At 34.6% G+C, this 27,716-nt stretch overlaps 1 long non-coding RNA gene across 4 annotated transcripts, besides 2 other annotated features; it reads left to right on the forward strand.

The window, feature by feature from the left end:
• Positions 1 to 27,716, forward strand: LOC124906104 (uncharacterized). 4 transcript variants are annotated; one of them, XR_007087400.1, is made up of 3 exons: positions 1 to 1,177; positions 20,749 to 20,825; positions 22,150 to 27,716. It is a non-coding gene; the product is annotated as an uncharacterized LOC124906104 (long non-coding RNA). The 4 variants fall into 4 exon arrangements; XR_007087404.1 differs by lacking the exon at positions 1 to 1,177 and adding an exon at positions 13,870 to 14,600; XR_007087392.1 differs by having other exon boundaries at positions 20,749 to 27,716.
• Positions 1,621 to 2,121: an enhancer, noted in NCBI's record as "H3K27ac hESC enhancer chr2:186348262-186348762 (GRCh37/hg19 assembly coordinates)". NCBI's record gives its function as "activates a minimal SCP1, AML or CMV promoter by ChIP-STARR-seq in naive H9 embryonic stem cells {active_cell/tissue: H9 hESC(naive)}" and the evidence as "EXISTENCE:reporter gene assay evidence [ECO:0000049][PMID:30033119]".
• Positions 3,182 to 3,684: an enhancer, noted in NCBI's record as "H3K27ac hESC enhancer chr2:186349823-186350325 (GRCh37/hg19 assembly coordinates)". NCBI's record gives its function as "activates a minimal SCP1, AML or CMV promoter by ChIP-STARR-seq in primed H9 embryonic stem cells {active_cell/tissue: H9 hESC(primed)}" and the evidence as "EXISTENCE:reporter gene assay evidence [ECO:0000049][PMID:30033119]".

Here is a 27,716-nt window from a genome sequence, read left to right on the forward strand (position 1 = left end):
AACCGAACTTGGATAGAAGCTTGGTCATCCAGAATCTCCATGTTCAAAAGTTGTACAGTAAATGACATGTGTTCTATGTTTTAAGAGTAACTTGTTTCTAAAAATGCATTTTTTAAAATGTTTCTAAAAATAAAAGACACTGATTGTCAGGAGGATTATTTAAACAAATGAACTTTAAAAAGCAGTGCCTTTAAATGTTGGCAACCATTTGAGCAACTATACACTGGTAGGTATTTATAAGGTTAATTTGCAGGCTGGGAAAAAGTGACAATATATTAGAAATCAGTGGCCACTGAAAATAACTGGAAAATGAAAATAAAGTGATTTTAAAATTAGAATATACATCAATGTGAACATATGAGTCAACTGATAGAAATTGAATTTTTAGAAGGCATCTGTTCCTGAGAGTATGCTGCAGTTGTGGATGTTTGGCTAATGAACCAGAGTACTAAAAAATATGCTGTAGCCAAATTCAGAAATGTTTAATTCTGCCCACAGAACTTATGGGGTGCGTGTGTGTGTGTGTGTGTGTGTGTGTGTTTATGTATGTGTAAATGTGCATGCTTATTTAGTTGCAGGCAAAAATAAATGATGATTTTAGAAGATGACAAAGGGAAAGAAAAATGCAATTAAAATAGTTTATTCACTTATCAAATAAAGGTTCTCTTTTAAATTATTTATTTTGTTGGGCATTCAGCCATTCAGAGACTCAATAGTTCCACAATAGTTGAGCAAGGGCCTTATGTGCTGAGAGTCATAACAGTGAATTGGTAGAAATAATCTCTGCCTTCTTGGGTCTTAAAATCTGTTGGAAGGGAGTGTAAGGATACAAAGAAATGAGGCAAATACAGTAAATAATAATAGGTGTTATGTTAGAAAAGTTGAAGGTAGGGGTCCTCAACCCCCAGGCCAGGGACCAGTGCTTCATCTGTATTTAACGCCACTCCCCATCACTCACATTACTGCTTGAGCTCCACCTCCTGTCAGATCAGAGGCAGCATTATATTCTCATAGGAGTGTAAACCGTACTGTGAACTACACATGTGAAAGATCTAGGCTGCACAATCCTTATGAGAATCTAATGGCTGATGATCTGTCACTGTCTCCTTTCATCCCCAGATTGGACCATCTAGTTGCAGGAAAACAAGTTCAGGGCTCCCACTGATTCTACATTATGGTGAGTTGTATAATTACTTCCTTGTATATGACAATGTAATAATAATAGAAATAGAGTGTGCAATAAATGTAATGAGCTTTAATCATACTGGAACAATCCCTCCGCTCCCCTCCACCCAGTCCATGGAAAAATTGTCTTCCATAAAACCAGTCCCTGCCAGGCTCAGTGGCTCATGTCTGTAATCCCAGGACTTTGGGAGGCCGAGGTGGGCGGATCAAGAGGTCAAGAGATCGAGACCATCCTGGCCAACATGGTGAAACCCCGTCTCTACTAAAAATACAAAAATTAGCTGGGCGTGGTGGTGCATGCCTGTAATTTCAGCTACTCAGGAAGCTGAGGCAGGAGAATTGATTGAACCTGGGAGGAGGAAGTTGCAGTGAACCGAGATTGCGCCACTGCATTCCAGCCTGGTGACAGAGCGAGACTCCATCTCAAACAAACAAATAAACAAACAAACAAAAAAAAACAGTCCCTGGTGCCCAAAAGGTTGGGAACTGCTGGTTTAAGGTATAAATGGATACCATGGGTGGGGCATTTAACTGAAACTTGAAACAATGGGAAGAGTAAGACAATAAAAGGTAGGTGGTGTACGATAAGGCAGTGACTAGATCTGGAAAGACTTTGACAGCAGGACTTAAGGATTTCGGCTTTATCCTAAGGCATGTGAAGCATGAGAGAAACGTAAGCCAGAGAAGGTCATAATTGGATTTTTGTCTTGTAATCTAATATGGTTTGGCTTTGTGTCCCCATCAAAATCTCATGTCAAATTGTAATCCTCACTTATCAAGGCGGGATCTGGTGGGAGTGATTGTATCATGGGGGTGGTTTCCTCCATGCTATTCTCATGACTGTGAGCAAGTTCTCATGAGATCTGATGTTGAAAGTATTTGGCACTTCCCCTGCTCTCACTGTCTCTCCTGCCACCATGTAAGATGTGCCTTGCTTCCCTTTCACCTTCCACCATGATTATAAGTTTCCCCAGCCACACAAAACTATGAGTCAATTAAATCTCTTTTCTTCATAAATTACACCAGGTAGTTCTTTATAGCAGTGTGAGAAAAATGGACTAATAAAGAAAATTGGCACCAAGAATGAGATACTTCTATAAAGATACTTGAAAATTTGGAAATGACTTCAGAACTGGGTAGCAGATTGGAAGAGTTTGGAGAGCTCAGAAGAAGACAGGAAGATGCGGGAAAGTTTGAAACTTCCTAGAGTCTTGTTTAATAATTTTGACCAAAATGCTGATAATGATATGAACAATGAAGTCCAGGCTGAGGAGGTCTTAGATGGAGATGAGGAACTTACTGGGAACTGGAGTAAAGGTGACTGTTGCTATCCTGTGGCAAAGAGACTGGTGGCATTTTGCTCCTGCCCTAGAGATCTATGGAACTTTGAATTTGAGGAGATGATTTAGGGTATGTGGCAAAATAAATTTCTAAGCAGTAAAGCTTTCAAGAGATGACCTGGCTTTTTCTGAAAGCATATGCATTCACAGAGAGATGATCTGAAATTGGAACTTAGGTTTAAAAGAAAAGTGAAGCTTAAAAGTTTGAAAAATTTGCAGCCTGATCATGAGGTAGAAAAGAAAAACCCATTTTCTGGGGAGAAATTCAAGCCAGCTGCAGAAATTTGCATAAGTAAAGAGGAGTGGAAAGTTTACTGCCAAGACAATGGGGAAAGTGTCTCCAGGGAATGTCAGAGGGTTTCACAGCAGCCCCTCCCATCACAGGCCAGGAAACCTAGAGAGTAAATGGTTTCAAGCTTGTCTTCTGTGCACCCACAGAGTTTTGGAAAAGCCTGGATGTCTGGCAGAAGTCTGCTGCAGGGACAGAGCTATCATACAGAACCTGTAGTAGGGCAGTGTGGAGGGGGAATGTGGGATTGAAGCTCCCCCGCTGACTCCCCACTGAGGCACTCTCTAGTGAAGCTGTGAGAAGAGGGTACTCTCCTCCAGACTTCAGAAAGGCAGATCCATCAACAGCTTGCACCATGCACCTGGAAAAGCCATAGGCACTCAACCCCAGCCCATGAAAGCAGCTGTTGGGGCTGTACCTGCAGAGCCACAGGGGCAGAGCAGCCCAAGGGCTAGGGAGCCCACCTCTTGCATAAGCATGACCTGGACATGAGACATGAAGTCAAAAGAGATTATTTAAGTGCTTTAAGATTTATTGAGTGCCTTGTGGAGTTTCGAACTTGCATGGTGCCTGTGGCCCCTTTGTTTTGGCCAATTTCTCCCAGTTGGAATAGGAGTACTTACCCACCTTTTCTACTCCTATTGTATCTTGGAAGTAAGTAACTTGTTTTTGATTTTACAGGCTCATAGGTATAAGGGACTTGCCTGGTCTCAGATGAGACTTTGGACTTGGACTTTTGGGTTAATGCTGGAATGAGTTAAGACTTTGGGGGACTGTTGGGAAGCCATGATTGTGTTTTGAGATGTGAAAAGGGCATGAGATTTGGGAGAGGCCAAGAGTGGAATGATATGGTTTGGCTCTGTGTCCCCACTCAAATCTCATGTCAAATTGTAATAATCCCGTGTCAATGGAGGGATCTGAGGGGAGTGACTGGATCATGGGGGTTGTTTTCCTGATCCTATTTTCATGATAGCAAGTGATTTCTCATGAGATCTGAGATCTCTTGCTTTCTCTCCTGTCTCTCCTGTCTTCCACCATGATTATAAGTTTCCTGAGGCCTCCTCGGCCATGTGGCCCTGTGAGTCAATAATTAAATATATTTTATTCATAAATTACCTAGTCTCAGATCGTTCTTTATAGCATTGTGAAAATAAACTAATACAGAAACAAATGTTGATAATAGGGTGGACAATGTACTGAAGAATAGAAATACTTGATGAGTTGAGGTTTTTTGTTGTTATTGTTTATGTATTATTTGGAGTATTTTTGCAGTAATCTAAGCAAGGAATACACTACTTGAGCTGGAGTATAAATTGTTGCTGGAGATAAGTAAAGGATTAAATAGGTATTTATGAAGGAAGCCTTGGAGAATGATTGAGAATTAACTGTGATAGAGATGTCAGAAATATGCCTCTGGATTCTGACTTACGATATTGAAAGCACTGAAAAAAGTTCCAATATCAGAGAAAAGGGAAAAAATTCAGCTTTAACATCATTAATTTATGGGTGGTATAATATTCTGAAGGTGATTTCTATAGGTATATTTTTAAAAATAATTCAAAATGCATTTTTACTTTTTGGAATACAATAAAAAATTCTCAGAAGTTCACAGAGAGCGGTTCACAGTGTGGTAGGTTCTGAATCCTCTATTTGTATAAAACGGTCAACAGCCTATTTCCCAGTTTACTAGTAGAGAAAATAAAATTTTAAAATACCTATTGATTAACTGATTAGGTATAACTGAGTGTTAATTTGCTGGAATTATTCCAAGAAATATGGTTGAACAAATACTTTTCTAATACAGAAAAAGGGCACTTCTGAACAGTCTTTTTAGAGTAGTATAGTCAAACAGTATTTTTAGAGTAGTATAGTCAAATAGCTAGGGATCAAAACAAGAGGTTAGAAACCTTGTTCTCTAGCTCCACCTTTTCGTTAGTGGAGTGATCTTGCACAGGATACTTTTACTCTGGGTTTTGTTCCCTTTATTCTTATAACTTGTAGAAAATAGTTACATGGCTTCTAATTAAAACTGATTTCTAATTTTAAAGCCAGTTTTAAACAAACACCTCTTAGACATAGGAAAGAAAAATATATAGATATGAATATGAATATTTAGAAACTAATAGAAACATTTACCAGAGACTTATGAGGAAACAACAGGAAACAGAAATAATTTATTAAAAATTTTCCCCCTTGCTGAACATCTCATACTTCTGAAATCCCTTTCTGCTTTTTATAAATTGCCCCTCAATTCTCTATAGTCTATAATTTTAGTCAATTCATTATCTAATCACCCAACTCTTTTTTCTGTGGAATGTATTCTTTTCTTCTTGAAATATCTTATCCTTCTTTTGTAGTATAAATTTTTATTATTTTTTAAATTATTTTGTTTACCTTTATGGATTTCGTTATCTATATAGAAAGCCCCATAAAACGTTGGGGTAAAAAGAAAATCAAAAACAAAAACACAACTCCTGGATTCTCATATGATTTATGGTCTATGTCAGCATTGGGGGTAGGGGAACTGTGGGAGTAAGGAAGTCAGAGGAAACAGAGACTGGTAGTCACATTGAGTGGGGGTGGACAGAGGCCCTAAATCTAAATTTTTATGGTAGCAAAAATGAACTCCAAGAATTCCTACAAGTCTGCCATATTAAACAATTTTATTTCCTACTACTATGCTAAATAATATATATGTATGGCAAATATTAATTAAATTACATATTCTGTCCAAACATAGGTAATTGATTTTACACATTGACATTTTATCTCAAGTGTAGTTTCAGTGTGTTCATTGTGTCAGATTTATTTAAAAACTATCAAATATATTTAAAGACTGTCTTGATTTCTTCCAGTTATTAAGATATTCGACAGATATTCTGTGAGTTCTTAAAATATAAAATCTAAGATATATTTTTCTTTTATTTGGCAATAGAAAAATAAAATATGCATGTATGCTGATGTTTGAAATATTAAACATCCAGTATAAATAAAATTGAACCCCTGTGATTTTTTTGTTAAATATATATTTATAATGTATTATTTTTACACACTATCATATCAAAAAGCTAAAAATACCTTGAAGTGTGCCCAAAATTTGAAGATGTAGTTAAGTTAAAAATATAAAGATGTATCTAAATTGAAAATAATAGGCTATAATATCCATTATGGTTGACAATGAATAGATCAAAATTAAATATGTCTGAAAATAGTATTAGAATATTTTAGTAATATTATTGAATATTAGAATAATATTTTAATATAATTTAATAATATTTTGTGACCATACCTTAACATAAATTACCTACAATAGGTATATCAGGACCAAAATGTTGTTAGAAGAGAAATCAATAAAATGAAAACTTTATAAGGTATTCTAAAAGCAAGGAAATTAGAATCAAATGAAAATTATAAGTAGATAGACTTAACTACACGTTTATGTGCTCACATATAAATATACTAAATCATGTGATTTATTCATTATACTGTTAATATGATCAATTGCTATGATTGATTTTCAGTTGGTAACAAACATTGTGTTCCTGAGATAACACAATATTAGTCGTTATGTATTATCCTTTTCTATTACCTGATTCTGTACAGAAATATTTTGCTAAGGACTTTCACATGCATTTCATAGTTTGTATAGGTCTATGGTTTTACTTATTTCTTGTAATATATTAGTCTATTTTTGGTAACAGGTGAATGTTGACTTTATAAAATGAATTAGGAAGGGTTTCATGTTCAGGTTTTTTATTTCATTTTGTTCTAATTAGGTAATGTATGTCTTTCCTGGAATGCATTTTTTTTGTCAAAGCCTTTATATTTATTGTTGCAAACTTATTCCTCTTTATTATCTTTTAGTGTTCATAGGATCTGTTGGGATCTCCTATCTTATATTCCTGATATTGGCACTTTGTATATTTTCTCTGTGCTTCTTAGTCTGGCTAGAAGGTTGTCAAATTCATTATTTATTTCAAAGAACTAACTATTGATTTCATAATTCCCTTTGTCTGTTTTTTATTTCTTTAGTCTCTGTTCTTGCTTTTATGATACATGTTTTCTTTCTAATTTGAGTTAGACTTGCTTTTTGTTTTCCAGCTTCTTAAATTGGAACGCTCTATATTATTGCTTTTTGTTTCCTAACATAAACGCTTAAAGCTATAAAATCTAACATGTTGATATGCTGAATTTTTAGTATAAATCATTTCAAAGTATTCTTAAGTTTCTCTGTTTATTTTCTTATTTGATGAATAACTTGTTTAGAAGTAAGCAGTTTAATTTTTAAATATCTATGGATTTTTCATAAGTGTTTTTGTCATTGGTTTCTAGTTGAAATACATTATGGTCAGAGAAAACACTTTGCATTGTTTCAATTCATCCATATTTTTTGGTTATTTGTTTTGTGGCCCAGTGTTTCTTCTTCCCATGTGTATTCTATTTCTGGTGAAAAGAATGTAATCGCAGCACTTTGAGAGGTCGAGGCGGGCAGATCACGAGGTCAGGAGTTCAAGACCAGCCTGGCCAACATAGTGAAACCTCGTCTCTATTAAAAATACAAAAATTAGCAGGGCATGGTGGCGCGTGCCTGTAGTCCCAGCAACTCTGGAGGCTGAGGGAGGAGAATCGTTCGAACCTGGGAGGTGGAGGTTGTGGTGAGCAGAGATGTGCCACTGCACTCCAGCCTGAGCAACAAAACGAGACTGTCTCAAAATATATATATATATATTATATATACATATATATATTCTACTGTTATCAGTTGATATAAAAAATAAATATTAGTATTCCATATATATATATTTTTCTTTTTTTTTTTTTTTGAGACGGAGTCTTGCTTTGTCACCCAGGCTGGAGTGCAGTGGCGCGATCTCGGCTCACTGCAAGCTCCGCCTCCCGGGTTCACGCCATTCTCCTGCCTCAGCCTGTCGAGTAGTGGGACTACAGGAGCTCGCCACCCCGCCCGGCTAATTTTGTTTTTGTATTTTTAGTAGAGACAGGGTTTCACCGTGTTAGCTAGGATGGTCTCCATCTCCTGACCTTGTGATCCGCCCGCCTCGGCCTCCCAAAGTGCTGGGATTACAGGCATGAGCCACCGCGCCCGAATAGTCTTCTACAAATTTTAATATGTACAAGGTAGTTAATAGTGTCATTTATATCTCTGATACATTTACTAATTTGGGGGCCTTTCATAACTCAGAGTGGAGTAGTGAAGAGTCTAAATCATATTGTGTAATTGTGTATTTATTTTTTAGTTCTGTCCATTTTTTTCATGTAATCTGAAACCTAACATATGGTTAGGTCCGCATATAGTTAGGTCTTGTTTTTATCCAGTCTGACAATCGCTACTTTTGCACTGAAATATTTAGAGCATTTTTAATAAAACTTTTAATATAGCTGGGCTTAATTTTACTACTATATATTTTCTATTTTCCTATCTACATTTTTTCCTATTTTTCCCTGGCTTCTTTTGAAGTGTAAAATGAAAAAAAAATACTTTAAAAAATATGTTTATATATGTTTTACATATTTTTATAAATATCCATAGAAAAAGTATACATATATCATTTATATGTGTTATATGTATTATATATATATATGTATGAAGAGGTAATAAAGATGGGTTTTCATTATATTTTATTCATTTTTTTCTGTATAATGCATTTTTTTTATAAAGGAGAAAAAAGTTTTAAAAAACTGTTGCTATAAATGTATTACAGGTACATAGGTAAATAGGCAAATGGATAGATATGATTTTCGGAGAATAGAGAAAGTTGTGGGGGAACAGAAAAACCATTATATCGTATTAGCTGCTTTTGTTACCTTACCAGTGTGCCAGTGGAGGAGGAACAAGGAGAAGCTGATAATATCCTTATCGTGTGCCACTGCATGTTTCTTTATTTACTTAGACACAGGGTCTCACTCCATCGCCCAGGCTGGAGAGCAGTGGCACGATCTCTGCTCACTACAACCTCCACCTCCCAGTTTCAAGCGATTCTTGTGCCTCAGCCTCCCACATAGCTGGGACTACAGGCGCATGCCACCACACCCGGCTAATTTTTTTAATGTATTTTTTGGTATAGATGGAGTTTCACCATGTTGGCCCGGCTGGTCTCAAACTCCTGACCTCAAGTGATCCGCCAGCCTTGGCATCCCAAATTGTTAGGATTACAGGCATGATTCACTGTGCCCGGCCTGCCATTGCATCTTTAAAAAATCATGTTTTCATTTAATTTTAAAGATAATAAAGATTTTTAACAGATACATCATTTTAAATTTTTAAAATTTAATATGAGCTTCTTAATTAGCTGTCATTTGTAAATATACTTAAATTGATTTATTTTTCTGTAGTACTAAAATTTATATTAGTCAAGTTGCAATTCAATTCATTTATATTGCTACTTTTATATTCACTCATTTGGTTTTTGCTACAGAGAAACTAACAATTAGTAAATTATAATTCTTATTGCATAACACTACAGAATCTACTTATGTAGAACTTAATGTAAAAAAAATTGCTAGTAATTTATGGAAAATAGTTTCACTAGGTATCTTAGATATGCATTATTAAAACAATTAGGTTATTAATATATCCTTTCCATATAAGAGAAATCTTGAGTGTATATCTAATATATCAATATATTCTCTTCTCACTATCAGTTTTCTAGCTAGTTGCCTAATACGTTCAATTATTATTTTGAAATTTAATTTTAAGCATAAATTTATTTTGTTTTATGGCAAAATCAAACAACATTAAAAATCAACATAATAAACTTTAGCTGTTTTTGCTTGACATTATTAGAACCTGTGTTAGAAGCATAATGTCCTCAAATTTCAAAACAAACATCACACAAATTCTTATTTAACTGAAATTTTATGTGCTATTTATACATTCAATATATGCCTTTTGGTGAGAGCAAATGAAGAAACTTTTTGAAAGTAGCATCCTTATCGTGTAGTTTTGTTCCTCTGCAACTTACTTTTGACTCTATGTAAATTTTGTTGCATCAGACAGAGAAAAAAGCTAATGAAAAAGAGATGCATAAAATTTGATTTTCTATAAACCTTTTTAACTTTACAAATTATAAATCCTATTCTGGGGAATCTTTCAGTACAAATAACCTTAAGGGCAGATAAATTGACTGTAGTTAAAGGCACTCTCTGTAAAACTCATCAGTTACAGCCTTTCCCTCAAAGTCTTGTGAGGCTTGTCTTTTCCTTCAGTGAAAATTTTGCCTGCTCATCTGTTTTATCAGTCTGAAGTACTAACCTCATGCCAAAATTGTTATTGCTGTGTAAACTAATGAGTTCAAGTTATTGTACAAAGTTCTCAAAACTTTATAATTGGACACATTGTGGAAAATAATCACAAAATATGTTTTAGAATGCTTGCTTTTCACACAAAACCTGAAAGTTGTTTAATATATTTCTGAAAATAACTAGATCTTATATTAAGCTTTATTTATTATGCTATTGTTTATTTTTTGTCAGTGGATCAGAATAGCTGTGTGTTAGTAACACTGGAGGAATTATGAATCAACTCTTAGTATACCTGTACCACAGATACATAGAGTAATAGATAAAATATCACCTATTGGCCTTTTTTTTTTTTTTTGAGATGGAGTTTTGCTCTGTCACCCAGGTGCTGGAGTGCACTGGTGTGATCTTGGCTCGCTGCAGCCTCTGCCTTCCATGTTCAAGCAATTCTCCTGCCTCAGCCTCCCAAGTAGCTGGGATTACAGGCACGTGGCGCCACACCCAGCTAATTTTTGTTCTTTTAGAAGATACGGGGTTTCACCATGTTGGCCAGGATGGTCTTGATCTCCTGACCTTGTGATCTGCCCACCTCGTCCTCCCAAAGTACTGGGATTACAGGCGTGAGCCACCGCTCCTGGCCTAGCCTTCATATTTTAAGAATATTAAAAAGGAAATAAGACATATCATATGCATTATCATAATTATATATTAACATATTAGATAAATTTGATATGATTCTAATTTCTGAAGCCCATCAAGATATTCTCAGGGTACTAACTGATCAATCTTAAACATTTACAAAATGATAGTAAACTCATGAGTATTGACATATTCTCAGACCAACTCAAGAGCTACCCATAACTTCAGAATCCACTGACTTCCATATTCAAGATGACTCCATTGATTTTCCTATTCAAGATCATAAAATAAGTACTCACTGAGCTTCAGATTGAAAGTATTTGCACTGTCTTGTTTATCACAACAAAGATATTTATTCTAAAAAAATTAAGTGTAAAAAAAAGCTGTCTCTCCTCCTTGGCCATGAAATGTACTCTTATGTTTGAAATAGGACAACAGCAATTATCTTCATAAATTTAGTCAGGGGTGCCAATTCATGACAAATCAGTGATCACCAGCTCTCTCTCAATTTTCTCTCTGGAATTTTTAATCAGGGATTAGAACTTCACGCTCTGTGTTTGGTGTCTCTTTTCATGTCTTTTGTTTATTCTACCTCTTTATTTCCTTGTGGTCCATTTTATTCAGCTTCTTAATATCTACTTTCAATTCACCGATTCTCAATTCAGTGTGCTATTAAATATAGAATTTTTAATATCTGCTATGTTTTCCTTTTACAGATATCCTAATTAATTTTTTACAGATGATACTTAATATACAAATATATATTTATTTAGCCATTTCTCAGAATTGCTGCTTAATTTACTGTATTCTCTTAATTCTGAGTAATTGGAAATTATTTTTATGTTTAGCCTTTATTTTTCAAGATATTGAATGCACTATCTTCTACATCTGAGAATTTAACATAAAATATTTGTAGAGCTGTAATTAATAATATTTCTGATGGTTCTTGCTCATATGCCTCATTTTCTTGTGCTGCTTTTATTTTAGTCCTATGAGCTTCTCATTTTCCTTAGAAAATTATTTGAAGAAATTATTTTAAGTTATCATGATGTTTATTTTGATGTTTCTCCAGAATAAATTGTACTTGCTTCTCCAAAAACTTGAGGACTCTACCAATCTTTGCCGACATTAAACAAAATTCAGTAAGGGAGAGGCAGGAGCCATGAAGAATGGGGCCAGACAAGGAAGGTCCTCCTGCAGATGCCCCGATCGCAGGCATAGCACCAGTGCCAAGGGTTTATTCATTGGGTGGCCACCAGTCACCCAGTAGTGAACCTAGGCATTGAGCTGGGAAACCTTCTTGCCTCCAACTTCTTTGCACAGGAATGAAGAACAACCTAAGTTTCTATTCCAGCAGAGTGGGTGCTTCAGATGCCTGGAGGTCTGCCTGGTTGTGGAGCAGAAATGGTCCCCTTGCACAAAGATCTCTGCACAGGAAGAGTGAGACAGGTCAGGCTGCTGATACCATTAGGCAGGTATTCCAAAAGCCTGGAGATCTTCTGGGCGTGAAGCAGAGAGAGTCCTACTACACCAAGATCTATGTCCAGGAATGTTGGGGCAACTCAGGCTGCTGTACCAGCAAATGAGTGCTTAAAATGCCTGGACATCTACCTGGGCATGGAGCAGAGAGAGCCTCACTGCACCATCATATATGTCCAGAAAAAGCAGGGCAGCTCAAGCTGTTGGTTCAGGCAAGCAGGTGCCCCAAACGCCTGGATTTCTAACTGGGGGTTGAGCAGAGAGGGCCCACCTGATCTCAGGGGAGCAGAGTGCAATGCCCAGAAATGGCACCAACGAGTCAGTTCCAGGTCGCCAAGCTAAATCCGACGTCAAGTCTTGCCTCCCATAGAAAACTACAGCTGTAGCAACTCTCCTCCCAGGCTTATGACAGAGGAGAGCACAATTCCAGCACATACTGCTGAGGTAATTTCCACAGTTTTAGCTGTGGAAACCCCTACCCTACACCAGAGCATACACTTCAATCCCTGGCCTGAGAGTAAAATGGCTGCACAGCCACACTGCCAGGTCTCCACAAATGATTGACTTTGTATGTACTTGGACTAAAAATGGCACCTTGCTTTCACTCCTGGGTCTGAGAAAATGTCTGCAGTTTTTCCTGGTCTCTTTTCATCATAGCACCTTCAAGTCTCTCTCCAAATTAACTCCAGGGTTTAAGAGAATCAAAGTGCTCTCCGTCAGCCTGGGTTGCTATGATCCCAAGTCAAAAGTTGAATCACGAGGGAAGCTCTCTGCCTTTCTCTCTCATACTGGGGCTCCACTCACTTTCATCAGCTGGATGCCATCACAGGGTTGTTTGCCGGTGTTCTCTCTGAGATACGGGGTGTTGTTCACAATTCTGGTGGATTCCCATTTTCCTTCTTGAATTAAAGCTCACACTGTTGATATTTATGTAGTATCTTTCTATTTCTGAGTGGCTGAGGCACTCTGAAAACCTTTAATCCTCCATCTTGGAAAAAAAAAGGTTTAGTATTTTTAAAGTTGTATCTGTTGAAATAGACATTTTAATTTTGATAAAGTTCAATATATTTATTTATTTTTCTCTTGTTCATCTTTTTCTGTCATATCTAAAAACTATTTCCCAATCTTAGATCATGAAGAGTCAACCATATGTTTTTTTCTAAGAATGTTACACTTTATACTTTTTTTTTTTTTTTTTTTGACACGGACTCTCACTCTGTCACCCGGGCTGGAGTGCAGTGGTGTGATCTCGGCTCACTGCAACCTCCGCCTCCCGGGTTCAAGCGATTCTCCTGCCTCAGTCTCCCAAGTAGCTGGGATTACAGGCCCGCCACCACGCCTGGTTAATTTTTGTATTTTTAGTAGAGACGGTGTTTCACCATGTTGGCCAGGCTGGTCTCGAACTACTAGTCTCAAGTGATCCTCCCACCTCAGCCTCCCAAAGTGCTGGGATTACAGGCGTGAGCCACCATGCCTGGCAACTTTTTACTCTTATATTTAGGTCTTTAATCCATTTTGAGGTTTTATTGGTACATACATGATTTGAAGAAAGTGTTAACAGTGGAAGAGATCCCAGTTACCATGAGTTGACAGTGGTGTATGTGTGCAGGTTTGCAGCAACTTCAGTCCTTGCCTCCTCAGAAGAAAGAATTAGACTGAGAGGAATAAACTAGAAAAAGACACCAATGCAAGTTTCAGAGCAGGAGTGGAAGTTCATTCAAAAAGGCTTTAGAACAGGAAAGAAAGGAAAATTCACTTGAAAGAGATCCAAGAGGGCACCTGAAGGTCAAAGAGAAGAGAGCCTTTAACCTTGATGCTAGGGCTTTATAGGCTCACCTCTTTCCCATTATTCTTCCCTTAGGGTGGGCCCCCCATTCGCAGTGCCCCCTTATCCTTAGGAATTGAGCACATGCAGTGTGTTTAGGAAGTTGTACTCACACCCATCTGAGACTTTCTTCCTTTTCTGGTGGAGTGCACCCTGAAGGTCATACTTTGCCATTTTGTCTCTTAGCGTGCATGCCCAGGAAGTTTTTTCTCCCTGGCATCTGGATTCAATTAACACTTTAATGTTAATAGCTGTGGATCATCAGGAAATGGCCCCTCCATGGCATCCTGGGTAGGCTGCCAAATTATCATTTTTAGAGAAGCAGTGTGATAACTGTCAAACCATCACCTGATAATTCTAGTGAGCAGGGGAGACCCCTCTCCTGGCCCGCTCATGCCCATCTTACTATTTGTTAACAGAAAGGATCCCACTTATTTACTTTGCAGGTGGTTATCCAGTTGCCTCGGATCTATCTGTGAAAAAGATTATTCTTTTCCCAATTTATGGTGTTCAGGATGAAGAAGGAAGTCCCCAACTTCAACTGAAGTTCCCTGGACTTATCCCAACCCACAAGCAGCTAGAAACTGTAAGAGAAATCCTAAAGTCTTGTTTCTTCTGGGAAGAAAGCTCTCCAGCAAGAATCCTGAGGAGAGAGGTCCCTGTGTTCCTTGTTGTAGCAATCTAGAGAGGAATTTCCTACTTACTGAGCTGGTAGAAGGAAGGGATAAAACTGACTTAATTCGCATTCCACAGACTCTGGCCTTTCTCAAGATATTTTCATAGATTTTCTTAAATTGTCATGTCTTCATTTGCTGTTTGCTCTTAGGGCTATTTCCAGAGGCTTTTAATAGAAGTGCACATGTGTGTTTAATAGTTTTCACCAGTTTCACTGAGGAGTGGGTCAATAGAACTCCTCACATGGTTACACAGAAAGTTGATCTTTCTCCTCTATTCGAAGAAGTGTTTTATTAGTATATTGAACAAGATGTTTCTAAAATTTTATATTGATTTAAATAACTTACAATGGCCAAATATTGTAGATGAAAATCAAGGCTGTAGATACCAAGATTTATTATGCAGTAAAACAATTAAAACAGGTGCTATTAAGACAGATGCGTACAATTAACCAACAAAACAACAAAATCCAGAAAAATCCCATATATAATTCATGACAAAAGAAAGAATTATTCTTTCTTTCAGTAGTGAAAGAAACTATGGGGAAAGAATAATTATCTTGGTAAATGATGGCGTGTCAGTTGGGTACCCATATCCAAAATAAATAAATAACTTGAATTCTGTATTATACCATGCAGAAAATAAATTCCATATGGACTACAAACCTAAACAAAAATTATAAAGCAATAATTTTTTAGAATGTGCTAGCCAAAAATGAAAATATATTTTTCGTATTGTATTAAATTTGAATTTCTATTTCTTAAAAACTTAATATTGTGAAAAAACAAGCTACAGAATGGGAAAAAATATCTGCAATACATACACAAGAGAGAGCACTCAATGAGAATGTATAAATGACTCGTACAAATCTCTAATAAAATAAAAGACAGCCCAATAATATGTGAGTAAAAGGTTTGAACAGGCACTTTACCAAAGAAGATACTCAAATGAGCAATAACGTATGAAAAGTTGCTAATTATTTTTTAACAAATAAATCCATATTTTAAATCACAATGTGATATGTTTATGACTCCACCAGAATAGCTAAATTTAATAGTAGGACAATATCAGATTTTGAAAAGAATGAAGAAGCAAAATTTTATATGTTGTTTGTGGAGTCGTTATTATTTATATCCATTTTGCAAGAATGTCTGGCTATAAGTATTTAAGCAAAAATGTATACACTCTCTAACCCAGGAGTTCAACTCTGAATATACTGATGGTATCCTGGTATATACTACCTCTTTAGGGTTGGGGATAGGGTGTTGCTTGATAACTCTGATGGGTTGTATAATATGGTGTAAATACTATTACAATAGCTGATTTCAAGCTATCCCCATGAGGCCACTAAACTTAGAGTTGAAAGGCAATGCCCATGATCAACTCCCACAAGTGAAAATGAGCTTCCCTTATCCACATAAGATGCTATATCATCATTAAAGAGTGAGAATTAACTGAATTCATTTGTCTTAAACAACAATGGAGTTTCCCACTAATACAGGTCCCTGTTGGATGCAATATTGAAGGGGATATTTTACAAAGAAATCCTCCTAAATCTTAACATCTCAGAAATATACCTGTTAATTGTGATCTACAGAGTCTATCATTACAGCTATGAAGTCCCAAACTCTTGGTAGGTTACTTACACAATAATGCCATTCTATTTGTCTCTATACAACTTACTAGTCAGTCTGAAGGACAAAAAACAGTCAATCAAATTGTATATTTATTAAATTAATTAAATTTGTAGAAAAATGTCTACATGTCATATTACATGTAGATTATATCTACAAGAAATATTTACATGTCATATAGGCACGTGTAATGTTTCTATATCTACTGGGAAAAAATTGTGCTGTGTAGACAAAGCCCCAATTTCTTTATCTTATTCTAGGGACAAGTTTATTCCTGTGTCTTCAATATTGATTATTATTAATTCCATGGAAAAACAAATTAAACACATTCTTTGAACTGTAAAACTCATTACACACTAGTTTTTTAAATTTTATTTTGTGATTTTGATCAAGGAGATCTATTAAAAATTATAGATAATAATTATAAATACATATATTATATTTAAGAAAACATGAAGCTATGACCAACCGAATTTTTTTTAAGATCACACTAAACTTGATTAGTCCTTTATAATAGAAGATCATATAGAATTTATAGTTACTAAGACGATACCTGCTGGGAATATGAATTTTAGATTCAGGTATTGGTGTTAAACGGTATCACGTAATTCAAGATATTGCAGAGCTGATAACCCTAGTTACTAAATAATAAAGTTTAAACCACATCAACCAGGATTGAATTTATTTATTCATAAACCTCATCCTTCATAATAACATTTAATTGCATGGATTCTGCAGTGAGAAGGGGTACCATCCAATGTGTCAGAAACCAAAAATATGTGACATAATTTTTATATTTAAAAAATCCAATGCATGGCACAGATACCAAGACAATAATGCCTTCATAATATCTTTTTAGTATTTTTTCTTGAAAATATGAACTACTGACTTTTAAATTTTGTGCTTTTACATATCAAAACATTTATTTTACAAGTTAATAAATTTAATTATGTTAATTTTGTTATAACCTCTAAAGACAGCAAATCCCACTCTTTTATTCTCTTTACTTTTATTCATTTATAAATTATTTTCTTAATAAATCAGAAAGGGCAGAGGAAAGTCACAAAGGTACAAAACGTACACATTTTTGTACCTTTTCCTTTTTTTAGGTAAGCAACATTATCTGGTAGGAAACACATATTCCTTTTATTTTCTCAAGGTCTTGAGATTATTTTAATCTTTTATATTTTCCCATTAAAAATTTTGAAATGGTAAAATGATTAATAGTGATTTTATTCATTTTGAATAAATAAACAATTAATAATAATGGGAATGGTGCCATAACAGAAACTGATATAGAGCTATACAGATATAGATGTGCAAAAAGAGAATAATTTTAAATTCACCTTTCATGTATTAATTTAAAAGAAAATACAACTTAAAATGTTATATTTTAATTTTTACAATAATGTAATTATGAATATAAACTAAAGTTTTCTGAACTGGGTAATGTGGGAGGTGATTCAGTCAGAAGTGTAGAATTATGAAGTGGTGATGACGCCATTGCTTAAACTGTGGAAGTTGATTACTCACTTCAGTCACATCAGTGTTGTTGGAAATTGACCCACAAAGCTCACTTTGCATTGCCTGGACAATGAGCTAACTAGTAGAGAAATCTTCTAACTTCTCCTTGTGAAGGAATTTTATTTAAATTCAGCTTTTCTTATGCATCGAATCTTTAAGTGCAGGGTCCCTGATGTTTTTAAGACAAATACCATAAATTGTTGGCATCTAAACCCAGATTGCCTGGTACCTGTGTAATGTTTTCTCTTCCCACTGGGAAGGTTGGGAAGGGACTGCAGGGCCCACCACTGGGACACATGTGTTCTCACTGCGTGCATCCACCACACTTCTCTGTGGGACATAGTGAGGATTGGGTGACTTCTGTGGTTGTATGCTGACTTTTGAATTTCAACTTTACCAATTAAAGACTATTTGTCAGTATTCTTAATGCTAAATGTGATATTGTGAAATTGACCCATGCCCACTTTGCATGGCAAGTGTCACAAGGTAGCAATGATTAGATTACTATATCTGATTTGTGACTAATAGCCACCTATTATGTATATCCTATTTATTACTTCTGTGCCACATTCTAGACCTACTCTGAACAAATCATACCATAATTTCTTAAAATAGTCAAAGGGGAAGACAGATCAATTAAAGTATTTTAAATGTTTATATTAGAGAATGCTATGCTATTCTCCTAAACTTTGTCTTTCATATCTCAGATGCCACATAATGACAGGCAACTACTTTGTAAAAAAGATAAATTCTATTTCTCCACAACCTCATCAGCTTCTATTATTTCTTGACTTTTTAATAATCACTATTCTGAATGGCATGAAATGGTATCTCATTGTGATTCTCATTTGCATTTCTCTAATGATCAGTGATGATGAGCTTTTTTTCATATTTGTTGGCCAAATAAAGATCTTCTTTTGAGAAGTGTCTGTTCCTAAACTTTACCCATTTTTTCATGGGGTTGTTTATTTTTTTTTCTTGTAAATTTGTTTAAGTCCTCGTAGATTCTGGATATTAGACCTTTGTTAGATGGGTAGATTTCAAAAATTTTCTTTTGACCCCGAAATCCAATTACTGAGTAATATACCCAAAGGAAGATAAATCATTCTACTATAAAGACACAAGAACATGTGTGTTTATTGCAGCATTATTTACAATAGCAAAGACTTGGAACAAACACAAATGCCCATCAATGATAGACTGAATAAAGAAAATGTGATACATATACACCATGAAATACTATGCAGTCATAAAAAGTAAAGAGATCATGTACCTTGCAGGGACATGGATGAAGCTTGAAGCCATCATCCTCAGCAAACTAACACAGGAACAGAAAACCAAACAACGCATGTTCTTACTCATAAGTGGTAGTTGAACAATGAGAAAACATGGAAACAGGGAGGGGAACAACAAATAATGGGGACAGTCGTGGGGTGGGGAGCACAGGGAAGGGAGAGCACTAGGACAAATACCTAATGCATGCGGTTTGACAGGTTGATGGGTGCAGCAAACCACCATGGCACATGTATACCTATGTAACAAACCTGCACATTCTGCACTTGTATCCAGAACTTAAAAATAAAAACAAAATTTTTTAAAAAAGATAAATTCTGTGTAGCCACCACTGATTGTGCCTATAATGATATCAAGAATTCCGTTTTGCTTGATTTAGGTTTTTAATTTTCTACTGAACGTCAAATTGGTTTGACATTGTATACGTAAAACTTCAGTTATCACAAATATGTCAGATGTATAGTAAGTCTATATATCTTTTAAATTATGTTTACTATATATAATCAATAGTAAATCTATTATTAAATTTATTGTAGTAAATCTATTACAGTAAATGTATAGTAAATTGTAAATCTATTATTAAAAGATATATAGTAAGTCTATATATCTTTTCTGGGTCAATTCCCAACATGACTGAAGTGAGTAATGAACTTATACATTTTAAGCAATGGCATCATCGCCAGTTCATAATTCTACACTTCTGATTGAACCATCTCCAACATTACCCAGTTTAGAAAACTTTAGTTTATGTTCATAACTACATTATTGTAAAAATTAAAATATGAAAAATTTACATTTTATTTTTTAAAAATTAAAACATAAAAGTTGAAATTAAAATGATTCTCTTTTTGCACATCTATATTTACTATCTACAATAGTAAACATATCTACTATCTACAATAGTAAATATAATTGAAAAGATATATAAATTATATATGATAGATTATATATATAAATGGATAATAAATATAATTTAAAAGATGAAGAGAGGTTTGAGTTGTTCCAAACTATGAAACAGTTCTCCATATTTCACTTTTTTATCACAGAAATGTATAATCACTCCTGAGTTCCAAACTGCTAACTATATACTACTCTTTCATTCTCATATTATAATAGCAACACACCCATTCCACTGTTTTTAAGAATTACCATTTACCAAGATTGGAGGCACTATAGGTAAAAATAGAAATCTAGAAGGAGGAAATCTACTTCAAGATATAATATAGGTGTAACAGCTATAGAAAATATTTTCATGTGGCATTCTACTGTAGATTATCCAACTTTTTTTAAACAATTGTCATAATTTTCAGGTAAATGGCTAGAGGTTAAAAATCTGAGGATATATATTAATTAGTTGAACTCATATGACTTATAGCTATTTAAGGTGTGCATTATCCCTCTGCCTTCTCAGAGGCTATTATTGCTTTAAGGGCTGAAGCCTACACAAGGCAGCCAAGAATGGGACAGAGACAGCAGGGGCCCACTCTAAAGCTGCTGAGTCCATCTGTCATAGCAAGGATGTTAGCATTTACTTTAAAATCGAATTTCCATTCCAAAATGTAATTTCACCAACCACTAACTCTTGCAACATTATATATTTTTACCCAGATGCTATTTCTGGAGCTGTTAGTCATGACTAGCTCTGCATTAAAATTTGACTGAAGCTGCATGTATGTATTAAATCAGTGAGTACCTTGAACTTTATGTTATTTAAGAAGATTGGGAAATATGATATTTCAGGGAATAATGTTAATATATAATTGACACACACATTCCAAATAATATGAAGGATATAGTTTTCTATAGAAATTTATACCAGTAACTTTGAATTTTCAGAGAGAGTGTCTAGTATGGATTTTATGATGCTTAAGCATTATTAATAGCAATATTTTTATATTAAAATGATAGTAATTTTCAGTTGATCAGAAATTAAAATCTAGTTAATTCTATTATTGAATGTGTTTGTATTTGTCTATGTGTAATAGCATGTGTGTACAGTACATGCATGCACATATACACACATTAACACATACACTATATATATTTACACACAGATGTATGTGGTGTACATATAAGAGGGGACTTCAAAAATTTCATAGAAAAATTGAATTAAAAGATAAAAATAGAAAAAATCTCTCAACATAAAGAAACATCTGATTAAAAAACTTAATGTTAAGAAAACATTCATGAAGAAAAGGAATTAAAAGATAAAAATTCAAAAAACATTTCTCAACATAAAGCTCCGTCAAGTTCAAAACACTTTTGTAGCAATGAAACCAGCCATTTAGTCTATCACTAAAGAACTGAGTTTCCTAGAAATTTAACCATGTAAATGCAATCTTTTTTACATTATCAACTGAAGAACAAGGGCTTCCTTTATGAATTTTTAAGATTAGGAAACAGAAAGAATTCAGAAATAGCCAAATCATGATTGCAAGGTAGGTACGTAATGATATCCCATCAAAATTCTTTCAAAATGGCCGTTGTTTGATGAAAGAAATGAGCAGGAGAATTGACATGGTGGAGAAGGACTCTCTAGTGAATGTTTCTCAGCCATTTTTCTGCTAAAGTTTTGGTTAACTTTCTTGAAGCACTCTCATAATAAGCATGTTATGATTGTTTGGCACTCCAGAAAGACCCAATGCATTTAGCATCCCCATAAAACTGTTGTTGCCAGGATCATTGCTCTTGACCAGTCCACTTATACTTTGACTGGACCACTTCCACCACTTGGTAGCCATTGCTTTGATTGTGCTTTGTCTTTAGGATTGTACTGGTAAAGCTGTGTTACATCTCTCAATATAATTCTTTGAAGAAATACTTCAGGATCTTGATCCCACTTGTTTAAAATTTCATTGAAATTCTGCTTTTGTCCTCAGCTGATCTGGGTGCAATGGTCTGACACTCATTGAATGGAAAGTTTGCTTAACTTTAAATTTCACTCAGAATTATGTAAGCTGAACAAATTGAAATGCCTATGGTGTTGACTATTGCTTCTGGTGTTATCAGTTCTTTTCAATTAGGGCATGAACAAGATGAACTTTTCCTCACAAATTGATGTGGATGATCTGTCGCTGCAGGCTTCATCTTCAACATTGTCTTGTCCCTTCTTAGAATGGATTATTCATTTGTATACTGCTAATTTGGGATAGAGGAGCATTTTCCCCGTAAAGCATTTCATAAAGTATCAATGATTTTACCATTTCTTCCACCCAACTACACCATAATTTGATATTTGTTCTTGGTCAATTTTAGCAGAATTCATGTTGCTCTGACAAGGGCTTTTGTCAAACTGATGTCTTACCCATCTTAGTGACTCAGACTAGATCTTGTTTATACATGTTTTAACAAGGTGTATGACTTTATTTTGGTGCAAAATCTTTTTGAAATCCATGAATAGTTTTTGTATAATATGCATTTTTATGATATCTTTGAAAACCCTCGTGTGTGTGTGTTTGTGTCTATGGCATGCCCTATATATGTGGAAGGATAAATCTGTAAATGCATGCACTAATATGGACTACAGATGTGAACTATATCTCCATGTACATATGTATCTCTATATACATGTGCATTTATGGATGAAATATTTATTGCCTACTGTGTGTTAAGTGACTGTGCTCTTAGCTATGCAAATGATTTCAACTGATGTTTTTTCCCTATCCCATCTATTTACTATCCTCTAACTTGTTCCAAAAAATAGGATACAGGATAAATAACTGAAATTGTTTTTTGAATGAGATTGCAGTCGATATATGATTTAGAGGACCAAGCAGGCAAAGAATTTGTATATTCAATCAATGCCTCTTAGTTGGTGATAGTTGTTTTTTTTTTTTTTATTTTTTTTTATTTTTTTTTTTTTTGAGACAGAGTCTCGCTCTGTCGCCCAGGCTGGAGTGCAGTGGCGCGATCTCGGCTCACTGCAAGCTCCGCCTCCTGGGTTCACGCCATTCTCCTGCCTCAGCCTCCCGAGTAGCTGGGACTACAGGCGCCCGCCACCACGCCCCGCTAATTTTTTTTTTTGTATTTTTAGTAGAGACGGGGTTTCACCGTGTTAGCCAGGAAGGTCTCGATCTCCTGACCTCGTGATCCGCCCGCCTCGGCCTCCCAAAGTGCTGGGATTACAGGCGTGAGCCACCGCGCCCGGCCGGTGATAGTTGTTTTTTAGAATTTTTTCCCCTTATCACAAGACTGAAATGAAAATTGATGCAATCACATGATGGAATATTTGTTCAATCTGACAGATTAATGGTCTAGGAAGAAAAAATTAATTTTGATTTCACCAAAGAAAAACAGTTTGTTGAAAATCAATCAGTTCTCATACATAGCTAAGAAAATATTCACTGCTTTTCAAGCCATCAAATGCTTTTAATAAATATCTAAAACAAGGTGGTTAAAATGTCAACTAGCACTTTTATTAAGTATTTTTCTGGATTTAAAAAGAGAAATGTCATAGCATATCCTATCTTCTAGATTTGTATTCTCTTGGTCAAGAGCAAGCATGAGCAAGCCTCTGAAGAGCTGCATCTCTAACTGCAAGCATCCCCACGTACTTATATATATATGAGCAGGCACTGGCCCTCTCTTTTCTGACATTCCCTGAAGTGTTCAATATTAACAAGCTGTTCATTGAACTAGGAACAAATTGGTTGGAATCATATTTGCTATGTTTTATTAAAGCATAGGCAAAATTACAATTTCAAAACTACAAGGGATCTGATTCCAAATGTTATTTTTGTATATGATGAATTTTAAAAAGTGTTAAAGGGTGATCCAAAGTTGCCTATCTATTCATTAGCATGTCTTGCTTTATGAAATCCAGAGGTTTTTTCTATTATGATATATGTTGCATACTGAATCTTAGGGTGCACATACCTGGCCTAGACATAAAGATCTGCTGTTACGTTATTTTCAAGTTGAGGTAGAGTTAATGTAAAGTAATATGCAACAATGTTCTTTTCAATGAGATTTACAATTATACCCACCATCTTTGTACCTGCAGCAAATAGAAATGCTATTGTCAAGGTAGTCTGTATGAAATGCTGAATTTGGCAAATTCCTCAAAATACTTATAAAATGTGTTATAATAAATAATATTTATATTTTTTTCTGGTAGTAATAACTAATTAATGCTAAATATATTTTTGAACTTCTACTATGTGCCAGAAAAACATTGGAAAAACAAATCTGAATGAACAGGCTATTTTCTCAAACCTATAAGTAAAGGTTGGAGATAAATCCACATTTACATTTTTTTTTTTAACTTGCTACGAAAACACTTAAAAGAACAACCTGAGGCATTTTGGCTAACCAGAGAAGCTGATGCTTCTATCCAGTATTGAAGAGTAGATCACATTTTGTTTGATAAAGATCTTAAAAGTCTCATGTTTCTACAGGCTTCTATGAATTTTCTTCTCTTAATTGGTTTAAGTGATTAATCAGTGATTACTAGATGGATCATTGATTGGTGTGACCAAGATTTAGGCAGAGGGTGTTAAAAGAGTGACTAGTATGGAGGGTAAAAATTTTAACAAGTCTAAATCATGAAGCACCTTGAATACCATTCTGATTTGTTTGATTTTCTATTAGCTATGTCAGGTCACCAAAAGATATTTTTATGAAAATAACATGGTCCTTTTGATTATTTCAGAAGACCATTTTGAAAATAACATAGAAACCCCATTGATAGGAGATTAGATTGAATTTAGAAAGAAAGACCATTGTGAAGTGTCTGAGAAAAAGAACTGTTGCTTAGAATGTAGTCATTAGCAACAATTTACAAACATTACTAAAATAATTGATATACATAAGAATAAGAAATATAACTGCAGAAAATATGGGATCTCAGGCAAAAGAAGTAAAATAGCTATCCTATGCTCAAAGAAAGAGAATATTTATCTCTTCTCACAAATGTTAATTCACACTGATTCACTCTCCTGGAAATGAAGAAGAATGGATAGAAAAAGTACCGATAAATTGGCTGTATTTTGTTTTACACACACACCATATTATACACCTCTGTAGTTGCTTTCCTGTCATCTCTCCTAAGGGGGTGAATTCTTTAGTAAGAATGTCTTCTTACTAAAATTGGCCATAAGTGTTTGTAAAAAATATATTTTTGATCCAGAATAAATTGATTTCAGCATCCAGTGGTATCCTACACATTATATATACTTAATAAAATATTTCAGTAACAGGTATCACATGACAAACAAATAAATGGTTACTACAAAGATGTATTCTGTGAGCTTTGTATTTATTCATCCAGGTTTTCACTGTCTTCTAGTTTCAGTTATCTCTTCATATTGCACTTGATCTTAAATCAGGAAGAGTGTTTTATATTTAATATTCTGAAATATCTGGTAATAATTATAAGGCTCATCTAATTCACCTCACTTTTAGAGACAAAAATGCTGGAAACAATCTGTTTAAATCTTTGAAAAATATCTCCAATAAATTAATTTAATTTTAAGAATAATTTTAAATCTCACAATCATGAGATTAGCGTTATAATGATTTTGTCTTATTTATGACATTAATGTATTTTATTTGCAACAATACTACATGTGTAAAAGTTGAGCTGCCCAATGCAGATTAATAAATCAAAACTAAAATATAATTGACTTTGCATCCCCTAGTACAAACAGCACAGAACAGTTTCTGATAGGTCTCCTCTGATTGTGAAGACAGCACATTCTACAGGAGAAATACTCCTTTAGCTCCTACATCAGCTGTCACAGAAGGCTAACAGCTTTGAATGAAGCTCAGAGGAGGAAACTGCCCTAGGGCAGACTTGCTACTTGAGTCATATACACTGGCTGGCCCTATTATTTAGAACATATCAGCGGTGGAAAAAGTGGGAGGTTTCTGTCAAGCTTCACTGGACAAATCACAATACAGTCCCCTGAGATTCTAGACGAAGACCACGCTGTCTACAGTAGAGAATTATGTGTGTTTAATAAGCAGCATTAGCTGTGCTACACGGAGCTGGTATGGTTTATTATCAACAGGCAGAAGAGCCTGCCAGTGGAATGAACTACAGGAGAAGTACTGAAGGTAATTTCAAAGTAATAGGCAGGGACAATGAGTAACCTAGTTCACAAACACTATTTTACTGTCTTCCCTTCTATAGCATTCCTAATATTGTTAATAGTACTCACAGAAAGAAAACACTGAGACAGAGCTACACTGAAGCCAGGCAGAAAGGGTAAAGCTGCATACAGTGGTAAAAGTGGTTGACATCTCCAAAAGATTTTTCAGTAAGAAGAATAGAGGATTAAACTCATTCCAAATTATATATTTAATCACAGATTAAGTATAATAACAAAATAAAAGAAAATACATAAAGAAATATAATATATGTAATTTCAAAAAAACTTAGTTCATCATAGTAACTTGCTGATTTTCACATTTAATCTGATTATCAATGCTTTGGAAAAATTTAATGTATCATGGGGAATGACAAAGAGGTGCTTTTGATTATTTTATTTATTGCTCCATAGAAATTTAATCTATATCAAATAAATTACCCATTATTATGTATTGAGATGATTATTGGTCTTTAATATTAATAATACATTTATCATATACCTAGCACATATTTTCTGTAGCAGTGCAATGAACTGAAATTAAGTAGCTCTAATAAGCCTTCAACAATATAGCAACATTCCTAGAATCCTACTAACTTCAACTCATGAATGGGTAGTAAATTTTATCAAATTTCTTATTGAAAGATTACATGGCAATGTGATTCATTATACTGTCTTATTTTCCAGTGTACTACAACTTTTAAACATGGGAGAAAAAATGAAACCACTCAGGGATTGTAAAAGATTTTGATGTTTAAATATTTTTAATTTTTTTTGGTAATGTCTGGGTAAGGGTGATACTGGCTTTATAAAAGACTTGGAAGATTTCCTTTTTTTCATTTCTCTTGAAATATTTGCATAAAGTTGGTGTTACTTTCTCTTTAAATGCTGGAAATAATTTGCCAGTGAAGCCATCTGTACCCAGGGGTATTTGTCAGAAAGTTCTAAAACATACTTAATATCATTAGTAGAAAAGGAAATATTTACATTTGAAAATTTATTCTTGTAGGTTTTTTTGGCAAATTATGTCTTTTGAGGAATTTGCCAGTTTTATATATCACATATATCAGAATGAAGTTGTGCCTTCTAATTATGGTTCAATGCATTGAAATATAGGAAATGCAATAATTTTCCATTTTCATATTTTTTAATTGCCAATTTATATTGTTATGTTTTGTTTTCTGCCTCCTTGATCATGCTGCTAGAAAGGGGTCAACTTTAGGCTTTTTATTCCCTATTATAGTTGGTTTTCTACCTGGTTGATTGTTAATCTTAATTATTTCCTTTCTTTTAATTATTTATATTAAATTTGCTGTTTTAACTTCTTGTAAATTGAGATAGAAGCTATGGGAATTATTTTATTTTAAATTTGCTTTTTTTTAATTGTATTTGCAATGACATAATTGTACATATTTATGGAGTACAGTGTGATGTTTCAATGCATGTATACATTCTATAATGATCAAATAAAGGCAATTAGCAGATTCA

The sequence above is a fragment of the Homo sapiens genome, chromosome 2 (genome assembly GCF_000001405.40).
Source record: "Homo sapiens chromosome 2, GRCh38.p14 Primary Assembly".
NCBI classification, from domain to species: Eukaryota; Metazoa; Chordata; class Mammalia; order Primates; family Hominidae; genus Homo; species Homo sapiens.